General features: G+C 38.1%; 1 protein-coding gene across 2 annotated transcripts in view; it reads left to right on the top strand.

Moving 5' to 3' along the window:
- ZNF112 (zinc finger protein 112) overlaps positions 3,620 to 11,867 on the top strand; it is a 40,665-nt gene continuing 32,417 nt past the window's right edge. For both annotated transcript variants that reach the window (NM_001348282.2, NM_001348281.2), the window contains exon 1: positions 3,620 to 3,756. Coding sequence is in view for 1 of the 2 variants with exons in the window: in NM_001348281.2 (NP_001335210.1) it covers positions 3,740 to 3,756 (17 nt within the window). In the remaining variant the exon portion in view is untranslated. The remainder of the gene's footprint in view (positions 3,757 to 11,867) is intronic.

The raw sequence follows: 11,867 nt of genomic DNA, 5'->3' as shown, positions 1-11,867 counted from the left end.
CTGTCATATTGACTTCATCAATTTCTACAATTCATTGATCCTACTGCATTTTCAATATCCCTTGTTCATCTCATATCCTCAATACCAACCAAATCTTTTCTCTTCTTTCTAGTATAAACAGAAGACTGACACTTACATCTAATTGTTTCAAAATATTGTCCCATGACAACCATAGACTTAAGGAACATTAAGAAAGTATTTTGATTTTCCCCCATAATTTTATAGAAGAGACATGCAGGGTCAAAGGGATTATGAATGGATGCTCTGTGAGCCAGTCAATAGCATATGTCCCAAAGGCTACAGGTTAAGTATATTACCTGGCCCAGCAGCTTTAAAATCATCTTTTGGTCTCCTACTCTAGAGAGTGAACTTCAGTTCAGGCACCAGTGATGCTATTATGTGAGGAATATTGACTTGCCTCTGTTTTTGTTTTTAAATAACATAAGATTTGGTATCAGTTATCACTTAAAAGTTATTTGTGAGACACTTTCTCAGTGTATGTGACCTTGGCTGGGAAGCATTGCTTTAGAGGTACAGAGATCAGAGACCAGATAACTTTGATAAGTCGGTATGTGCAATGGTAGAAGTATTTTAAACATGCCATGAAAGGGGATATTTCAATTCATGGCATCTATTTTGGGGGGAAAATGCTCTCAAATACTATTGGCTCAGTCAATCAGATCACTTGTTTTGGGATAGGTTTGGTAATATGACTCTATGCACTGTGCATACTCTTAGATTCAAGGGTCTCCATTCAAGGAATTTATATTATGGTAACACTCATTTAAAGATCAAGAACAAATGGACATGGGTGTTCACTAAAGCATACTTTTGTGAACCCAAAAGTATGTGAGACAGGTCTCAATGAATTTAGAACATTTAGTTTGCCAAGGTTAAGTACACACCTGTGACACAGCCTTAGGAGGTCCTGACAACATGTGCCCAAAGTGGTCAGGGCACAGCTTGATTTTATACATTTTAGGGAGAAATCAGGCATCAAACAGTATGTGTAAGTTATACATTGCTTAAGTCCAGAAAGGCAGGACAATCTCGAATGGGAGTGGGAGCTTCTATATCATAGGTAGATAAGAGACAAACAGTGGCATTATTTTGAGGCTCTGATTAGCCTTTTACTGAATACAAAACTCACAAGTGAGAGGTGGGTAGACGAATAGTGACTTAGGTCTTAATGTTGCTTAGTGAATCTGCATTACTACATAAACAATAGGGAAGAGGAAGCAATCAGATATGCATTTGTTTCAGGTGAACAGAGGAATGACTTTGAGTTCTGTCTGTCCTTTATCCCACACCTGTGAAGATAAGCTATCAATTTACATTACCAGGGTGAAATTCAACAGAAATGCTTTTGGATAAAGATGTTCAGGCCCACAAACAGGCCCCTGTGGACAAATTGTGAAGGAGGTATGTAGCTTTTTCTGCTTTACAGCTATCTTATTAAGTAATCAAATGGGAGGTTTGCCTGACACAGTTCCCAGCTTGACTTTTCCCTCTGGCTTGGTGATTTGGGGGTCCCGAGATTTATTTTTCTTTCACACTTTGCAAGACTATGGATGCTTAATAGGATGAGATTAGCAATTGAAAGAGAAAAAATTTTGATTCCTAAAGTCTTCACCCTTTCCCTCAAACTCTTTTAACCTTGTTCTTCTTCTAATGGACATTTGTGCATGATTGAGGTGTAGTATCTTAGGTGCTGTAGGAAACAGTAATATTCAAGAATGTGCTGTGATCTGCACTAAGGAGAAGGTGATGCTACTGAACAAGGCCAAAATAAACCTACCTATGGAGAAGTATTCTTGCCGAAAACGATGAAACTTAATCTCATCTGCTTTCTAAATCTAAATTGTAGTTTACCAGAGCCACAGAAGATATTCAAGAAAATGTTAACTGACAGCATAATGAAACATTTTTAAAAATCCAGAATGTGGGACATCTTACTTGACAACTGACCTGATGTCTTGTATATGCCAAAAGCATGAATTTAAAGTGGATCAAAGGGGGGATACTCTTCCAGATTGAAAGAGACTCAAGAGACAAAACGATCACATGCAAAGGATGGACATTTTTGAGATGACTGGAAATTCTGAAGTTTTGTTTTTTAGGGCATAAAATAATATTAAGGAATTATTAACTTTCTTCAGTGTGACAGTTGTATTTTTGTTATATTAGAAAATGTAATTCTTTGAAGTATGCATGGGAGTGTTTAGGGGGAAATAATACAGTGTCATGATTTTGTTTTAAAATTACAATAACAAAAAGGGCAGAAAGACAATATTGATAGATAAAGGAAGTGTGGCACATGTTGAAAATTGCTGAATCTGGGTGATGAGGCAATGGAATACTTCACTCTTTATTTCTATCAATGTTTGAAATTTTTCATAACATAAAGGTATGAAAATGTTTAGTTCTTGTCCAGAAGAAAAGTGGTAAGCAGAACCTTCGTGTATTTTTATTTGTTGGGTTTTCTGGATTTGCGTCCAACTCTCAATCGACTCACTTGAACGAAATATGGTCTCACTGGTTTTCATATTCTTCAGTTATCATTGTATTTATGATAATAAGAATAGGGTGGAAGTGGGTGATGTGATGCTTGAACTTGAACAAAAAGATATTTCAAATTTTTATATATTTATCTCTTTTCATATTATAATAATTCCTTCACATGAACACACCTCCTTTCATTCGCCTCATGAGCCACGTTTTACAATGAGCAATTAAAGTCAAGGAACACCCAAAAGCTTTTGCTGCTTCTGCTTTATACTTTAATAAACTTTGCATGACCTTCTTGTGGTTCTTGTATCATGGAATGAATAGCATATATCAGATAACACTGCCAAGAGTTCTAGATGCATCCAAAACACATGGAATAAAGTAGAAAATCCAGTCAAAGTAGGTTTGAGATCTTGTATTCCTTACATTCGTGCCCAGTTTCTAAGTTCTGCATTTTTTGCTTACACATATCTTCCCCTTTATAATCTATGCCTCCTTTTCATTTCAAACTGTGTTCTCTACTAAAGGGATTTGGGTGGGAGACAGGGTGGGAGGGGCGTTCAAATGCATTTGTTTTGTCACATGTGAAAGAAAAAAAATGAGAATAAGGAAGAAGAAGGCTGAGCTTGACCAGTGAGATAGAATGATTCGGACTGAACCTAGTTATCCAAAATAAAAAGGGAAACGCTGGTGAGAAGCACTACCTGAAGAGGATTCTGGAAACTGGTCCAAAGCATTCACAGTGTCAAAAACACTTCTGTTCCTGGAAAGGTGGCTTTAATGATTGGGCTTCTGGGGGAAATATTAAGTATAAATTAGAATCTTGTTTTTGGAGACATTTTGGTTCAAAGAGGACAGTGCTGAGTTTGCATTCTACTCTAGAACTGTGTGACATACATTCCAAATTCAAAGGGTAGTAGCCAGCCTTCCGCCAGAGAAAGGCAACGACATTGCCAATTCTTTGCGAGGATTCTGGGAGCAGTAACCTTGGAGCTCTGTGTAGGCGGCCGGGCTTCCGCTACAGGAGGGCGTGGCTGTGACGATTATCTCATTGGGAATTCTGGGGTTATAATCCAGGAATTGTGGGTAACTACAGTCACTTCCGCTCCATGAAAGTGAGGTCATCATTCCTTTCAGGAAGTTGAGTGAGGCCTGAGACAGCAATGTTTCGTTTAGCCTGGCGGCGGCCCTCCTTGTCTTCGAGAAGAGCATCCGCGGCTAGCAGTGGAAGATGGGGTTGGGCCCCAGGTGAGTGAGCCTTTGTCGAGTTTGCAGCATTTGGTCTTGGCGGGTTGAGGATCTCTTGTATTTTGTGCGCTCTGTTCCTACTCCAGGACTGACCAGGCAGTTCTGCCACCTTCTAGGGGTGTGAAATTGGGAAGTAATTCAAACTGTATGTGCCTAGCATTCCTTTTATGTAACATAAGGGGAATAGTAGTACCAAACTGATGCAGTTGAGTGGAGAATTAAATGAGATAGTCACAAGTAAAAGGTGGTAAGTGTGGTTCATTTTATTAATTTTTTTTTTTTAATTTCCCGAGAAGCCCCAGTTACCTGAAAGCTTCTATGAGCCTGGGAAGAAATCAGAGTTCCACCTGCAGTGCTATTTTGCCCCTTCTTTCTGATCCCTACAGGAAGCAGGACGATTCCTGGATTCCCTTTTTAAAAAAGTGGGGGTGGGGGGAATGGGGCGGGAATCACTCCAGGCTATTGTATCGGGATGTCCTCTGTGATTCGTGCAGGAGGGAGACACAGTTCTGATTTCTCGCAGATGGTCACAGGAATGAGGAAAGAATGACTCTTTGGCTCCTAGCAGCAGAACCTTAACTGAGTGTGACTTAGCATCCTTCTTCTTGCCGTGTCATCTCTCTTCTCAGGGCAGAAGATATTTACTAATTAGCACATTCTGCTAGCACGTCTGTGGGAAGAGGTAGGAAGGAAGGAGGGAGGGTGGGAAGGAGGAAAGAAGATCCCCTCCTTATACTGGAAAAAAAAGGAGCAATATACTTTTCCTCAAAATGAGAAGTCAAGCCCAAAAGAATTCTGTACAGACCACCTTAAAATAACATCTTTCAAGCCTCTCCGCATGATTTAGTTGCTTCTTTTTTAAAAAAGAAAAAAATTTAAATTTATTTTTATTTTGTAGAGATGCAGTCTTACTGTGTTGCCCAGGATGGTCTCAAACTCCTGGCTACAAGCTATCCTCCTGCCTCTGTCTCCCAAAGTGCTGGGGTTACAAGCGAGAGCCACCAGGCCTGGCCTAATTGCTTCTTAACAACTTACTATTCTTTGTTCACTACAGTGTATACATAACTGACTGTTTCTTTGGAGCTTCATTTTGTAATGAAGGCTCTGGTCACGTGTAAAACTTGTATTAAATAAATTTGCATGCTTTTCTCCTGTTAATCTGTGTTATGTTAATTTAATTCTTGAGCCCAGCTGGGTCCTGGAGAGGATAGAGTGAAGTTTTGTGGCAGCTACATAAGTCAATGAAATTGGAAACAGAAAAACAATCTTTAAAAATCAACAAAATCATAACCTTATTCTTTGAGAAGATCAATATAGTTTATAAACCTTTCAACTGACTCACCAACGGGGAAAAAGAAGAAAACAAAAATCAGGAGGGAGGGAACATTATTACAGATTTTGCAGATATTAAAAGGATTATAAAGGAACATTACAAACAACTCTTTGTCCATAAATTCATCAATTTACATGACATGGAATATTACTTGAAAGGCACAAACTACCAAAGTTCACTCAAAAAGAAATATCTAGGATAACCTAGATAGTTGAGTGTATGTATGTGTGTGTGTGTATACAATTTTTACACACACACACATAAATATATATATATATAATTTTTTTTGAGAGAGGGTCTTGCTGTGTCACACAGGCTGGAGTGCAGAGGCATGATCACAGCTCACTGCAGCCTCGAACTCCCAGGTTCAGTTGATCCTCCCACCTCACCTCAGCCTCCTGAGTAGCTGGAACTAGAGGTTCACACCACAGTGAGCAGCTAATTTTTTGTATCTTTTGTAGAGGTGGTTTTTTACCAAGTTGCCTGGGCTGGTCTTGAACTCCTGGGCTCAAGTGCTCTACCCACCTTGGCCTCCCAAAGTGCTGGGATTACAGGCTTGAGACACTGCACCTGCCTGGCCTGATATATATTTCAAAACTGATTAATAGATAAAGCCTTCCAACAACAACAATAAAAAAACCAATATTGAGATTAATTCATTGGTGGATTCTACTAAACATTTAAAGAGTAAAGATGTGAATTTTAAATAAACCCAGAAACGAAAAGGGAAGGGAACACCCACCCACCCCCAGCTTGTCTCATGAGGCCAGCATTAATCTGATAATACCAAACAAGACAAAGAAATTATAAGGAAAGAAAACTACAGATGAATATCCTTCATGCACTAGGTGAAAAAATCCTGAATACAGTAGTCCCTTGGTGTCCGTGGGGAATTGGTTCAGGGACCCTTATGGAAATCAAAATCCGCGGATGTTCAAGTCTGTTATGTAAAATGGCCATAGTAGTCTCATCTAACCTTTTCATATCACCCTGTATAATTCAAATTATTTCCATCCCTATACAATAAAAATGCCATGTAAATAGTTGTTATACTGTATTGGGTTTTTTATTTGTGTTATTTTTATTGTTGTGTTGCTAATTTGTATTTTTTTTTCTGAATATTTTTGATCCCTGTTTCATTGAATCTGTGGATGCTTCTGTAGTATCCACTGGCTTGAAGATCTAGATGACAGAGATTGAGGTGACCACAGGACCTGGAAAGTGAGGGAAGAAATCCAGGGAAAAAGATGTCAAGCAAAGAATTGCCCCTTATTCTACATTAAACTCTGCCCAAATTTCAGACTGACTGACACCCAGAATATATAAAGACTTGTACAATACAATATTAAAGAGCCCAACATCTCAATTATAATGGGCAAAATTTGAACAGTTACTTTACAAAGGAAGACATACAAATTGTTAATATAGCCCATGGAGAAGTGTGACATTATTTGTCATCAGGAAAAAGCAAATGAAAACTGCAGAGAGATACAACTACAAGATCACCAGAATGGCAGATATTAAAAATACTGATAACAGGCCAGGCATGGTGGCTCACACCTGTAATTCCAGTACTTTGGGAGGCCGAGGTGGGCAGATCATCCAAGGTCAGAAGTTCGAGACCAGCCTGGCCAACATGGAGAAACCCTGTCTCTACTAAAAATACAAAAATTAGCCAGGCATGGTGGCAGGTGCCTGTAATCCCAGCTACTCAGGAGGCTGAGGCAGGAGGATCGCTTGAACCCAGGAGGCAGAGGTTGCAGTGAGCCAAGATCATGCCACCGCACTCCAGCCTGCATGACAAGAGTGAAACTCCATCTCAAAAAAAAATACTAATAACAGCAAATGCTTATTAGGATTCAAAACAATCAGAAATTGCATATATTTTGGGAGACAGTGTAAAATTAATCTTTTGGGAGATGATCTGGTGGTTTCTTAAGCAGTTAAACACATCAAGCAATTCTAATCATAGATATTTATTCCAGAGAAAAGAAAGCACATGCACGCAAAAAGACTTTTATAAGTATGCTGCAGGATCTTTATTCATAAAAATATTTAAACAATTAAAATGTAAGCAAGTTTCCAAAGACTTATATTCATACAATAGAACATCACTTCAGGATCAAATGACTAATATGTGCATCAACATGGATGGATCTGAAAAACACTATACTCAAAGAATTGTAATACAGAAGAGTTCTTACCGTATGGTTCCATATATTTCATATTCTAAAATTAGTAAAATTTATGGTGAAAAAGTAGAACAGTGGTTGCCACTGGGGGAAGGGGTTAGAGACTGACTGGAAAGTGTCATGAGGGAATTTGTGGGGTAATGTTAATGTTCTGATGGATAAGTAATAAGATAGCTAGATAGATGGCTAAGACATAAATGTTGCTAATTTTAGTATCTAAGCTGAGAATATATGGGTGACTACTGTATAATTCTTCCAACTCTTCTTTATGTTATAAAATTTCAGGGCTAGGCACAGTGGCTCATGCCTACAATGCCAGCACTTTAGGAGGCCAAGGTGGGAGGATCACTTGAGGCCAGGAGTTTGAGACCAGCCTGGGCAACATAGTGGGACCCCATCTTTGCAAAAAAAAAAAAAAATTAGCCATGTGTGATTGGGCACAACTATAGTCCCAGCTACTTTGGAGGCTGAGGTGGGAAGATGGCTTGAGCCCAGTTGGTCAAGGCTGCAGTGAACTGTGATCATACCACTGCACTCTAGCCTAGGTGACAAGGTAAGACCCTGTCTTCAAAAAAAATTTTTTTTAGTAAAATATTGAGAAAAACAGTTTTGAGTGAAAATTTTTAACAGAGTTTTATAACACAAGATATATATATATGCATCCGAAATTCCACACATTTTGCCAGAAAGACATACCAACAACAGGCACACATTAAACAGATCGACCTGGTTACTGATGCGGCAGGGGAGAAAATGAGAGTGGGTAGTGGGGGATATAATGGAACAAATAAATAATATCTGTTTCTTTTTTTCTTTTTCTTTTTAATATGTGTGCCCTCAAACATTCTCCTATTCAAATAAATGATATTTTCACATTCACATTTTATCCAGCATTTCTATGTAAATAAACTAGGAAGACGGTCTGTGGACGCTTTATCTGTGTTGTTGTCAAAGGCCTGTAATATGTCTTGAAGAATATTTTCCGGAAAGAATTTAGAAGTGATTCACAACTGAATCTTGTATGCCAAGAATAGTGCACATGAACAAAACATTCTCTGACCATAGAAGGATCAATCTTTTCACCTCAAAAATCCCATAGATTATTTTTATATTTTATTAGTACTTTTAATGTTGCAGACAATAATTAAAATGCAAAGCTTATTTTTTCATTCCTTTGAAATTGACTCAATTCTTTAGTCTTCAGCCTTGCCATTAAAAAATTTCTCAATGTCTGCAAGTGCATCTCTACGAGTCTCTTCCTCCTTTTTCTCTTACTCTTCCTCCTCCTACTTCTCCTCCTCCTACATACCCTCACCTTCCTCCCCCTTCTCCTCCATCTTCTTCTCCTCCTTCCAATATGAGATTTTGCCCATGTGGATAAATTGTTTATTCTTTCTTAATGATTTATTTATTACAATCTGCTTCCTTCTCTAATCCTCATTTTTTCTCATTAGCTTATAAGATACACCTGATCAGTATGTTCATATTCATTATAGAGTTTCTCATTATTTTTAGCCCTTCCCTCTAAGTTCTGAAAAAGTTCTATGCCATATATTCAGTTTCCTTTGAAACATATCATTGATTTTTTAAAATAGACTTTATTTTAAGAGCAGTTTTAGGGTTACAGAAAACTGCTCAGAAAAACTGAGAAAGTATTAATATTTCCCATATACTCTCCTTTCCCCTGCCCAGTTTCTCCTATTGTTTGCATCTTGCATGTGTGTGGCATATTTATTACAACTAATGAACCAATTTTGATACATTATTATTAAAGTCTGTGGTTTACATTAGGGCTTACTCTTTGTGTTGTACATTCCATGGGTTTTGACAAAGCATAATGTCCTATATCAACCATACTGTATCACACAGAATAGTGTCACTGCTTAAAAATACCCTGTGCTCTATCAATTAATCTCCCTGAACCTCTAACAACCACTGATCACTTTACTGACCTTTAGTTTTGCCTTTTCCAGATTATCATATAGTTGAATTACAGTACGTAGCTTTGACAGACTGGCTGCTTTCCATTAACAATATGAATTTAAGGTTATTCCATGTGTTTTCATAACTTCATATCTCATTTCTTTTTATGGCTGAATAATACTCTATTGTATTGATGCACCACAGTTTGTTGGTCATATATCATTGATTTTACAGATTGAAATATCACTCACATTCAGAAAAGTGTCTGAATCATAAATATACATGTGAAAGTATGAATATAAAATGAACAGCTGTATAATCACCACCCACAACAAAAATTGAAGCATGGTAGAATTGCAAACACCCCACTCTCACAGCATCATGATGCTTTCTTCCCCATAAAAAGAAACCACTACCCTAAGTTTTAAGATTCCCTTGCTTTTCTTCATATTTTTACTATTTAAGTGTCCAAAATCATCCTATTGATGAATTTTGCATGTCTAATGAACTTCGTACAAGTGGAATCACACTGCATCTACTGGGTTTGTCTAGTTATTTTGCTCAACATATTTATGGGAGTCATCATGGTATTGCATGTACAGCTAAAGTTTGTTCAATGTCCTTGCTTTTACCTTGTGTAAATAACAAAAATATTTATCCATACTATCATCGATAGACATCTGGAGTATTCTCAGCATGTCATTGTGATGAATGATCCTGCTATGAACATTCTTATATGTGTATTTTGGTACACATTTCTTATAGGTTTATACACTGAGTAGATTTAAGTGTCATAAGAAATGCTTTTCAAATCGGGCTCTACAATCCACCAGCCTTAGATTGTTGCATATAGTGGGAGGTATAGGTCAATTTCAGTTTTATTTCACAATACTCAATTTAACAGCAACATGTATTGAATATTTTCCCTGTTCCCATGTTGCTGCAGCGCCCCATTTGTTGCAGATCTGAAGTCAACATGAGCATGCATATAAAATTCAAAAGATCTACACATAAAATATTAAAATTAATTAGATTAGTTGGCAAGATTGCAGGATAAAGGAGCAAATGTGGTATTTAGTAGAAATGATTGGGGTGGACATCATTATTTTGTTCCCCATCATAGAGGAAATGTTTTCAATATTTCACTATTCCTTTTGATATTTGTTGCCATTTTTGTAGATCTTTACTATTGCTTAGTTGCCTAAATTTTCTTATGATAAATGGGTGATTAATCAAACTTTTTTTTTCTCTGATACCTAGGTTGCCCTTTTATATATCATTGGCAACATTTTGTTTAGCATTTTTGAAAGTATATTTATGACGAGATAGACCTGTCATTTTCTTTTTCTTTCTTTTTTCTTTTCTTTTTTTTTTTCTTGAGATGGAGTCTCCTCTGTCACCCAGGCTGGAGTGCAGTGGCACGATCTCAGCTCACTGCAATCTCCATCTCCCAGGTTCAAGCGATTCTCCCACCTCAGCCTCCCAAATAACTGGGAATACAGGCACGTGCCACCATGCCCGGCTTTTTTTTTGTATTTTTAGTAGAAACGGGGTTTCACTGTGTTAGCCAGAATGGTCTGGATCTCCTGATCTCATGATCTGCTTGCCTTAGCCCCACAAAGTGCTGGGATTACAGGCATGAGCCACCGTGCCTGGCCAGACCTGTCATTTTCCATTCTAATGAAGCCTCTCACAAATTTTGTCAGTGTTATTACAGTGGCCTCATAAAGTTAGTTGGAAAGTGTTTCCTATTTTGTTATTCTCAGGAATAATTTTGAGATGAACATGGTTTCTTCTTTAAATATTTGGTAGAATTCACTGATGACACCAAATTTCAATGCCACAGTCTTTTATCTATGGATTACTTAAAAGTGGTTTGATTAATTTCTAAACAAGTTTGTAATTTAGGGTCCACTGAGAAGATAGAAACCTTATCAATTATTTGAAAAGAAAAATTAGCATATTGTAGAGTTGGTAGCTAGATTTCTGAAAGAGCAGAAAAAGAACTGTAGGCCACATGCAGTGGCTCACGCCTGTAATGCCAGCACTTTGGGAGGCTGAGGCGGGTGGATCACGAGGTCAGGAGTTCAACACCAGCCTGGCCAATGTGGTGAAACCCCATCTCTACTGATAATACAAAAATTAGCTGGGCGTGGTGGCGCATGCCTGTAATCCCAGCTACTCGGGAGGCTGGGGCAGGAGAATTGCTTGAAGCCGAGAGGCAGAGGTTGCAGTGAACCGAGATGGCACCACTGCACTTCAGCCCGGGGAACAGAGCGAGACTCTCAAAAAAAAAAAAAAAAAAAAAAAAAAAAAAGAACTCTAATATATGATGGAAGCAGCAACTGCAGGAAATAGCAACTGCAGCAAGCAGCAACCACCTGAGGTCTGAGGAAACAAAGTGAAGAGACCAGAATTACTAAAACTTAGAAGCTTGAAGGAAGGTCATGCTCACCTGAAACTCAGACCTCTGAGGAGAGGTCAATGTTGGGCTGGTTCTGCTGTCTCTGAGCTCAAAAGCAGGGCCCTGCAGTGTTAGGACTTAGACATCTAAGGATCAGTCTTTGGGAAGTTGTTTAATAATGTTTACAAAGAGCCATGATGAAATAGGTTATTCAAGTGTTAGAAAAACTGAAAATTAGGCAGTTGCTACAAGAAAAAGT

The sequence above is a fragment of the Homo sapiens genome, chromosome 19 (genome assembly GCF_000001405.40).
Source record: "Homo sapiens chromosome 19, GRCh38.p14 Primary Assembly".
Classification (NCBI taxonomy): domain Eukaryota; kingdom Metazoa; phylum Chordata; class Mammalia; order Primates; family Hominidae; genus Homo; species Homo sapiens.
This window is presented reverse-complemented; position numbering and strand designations above follow the sequence as displayed.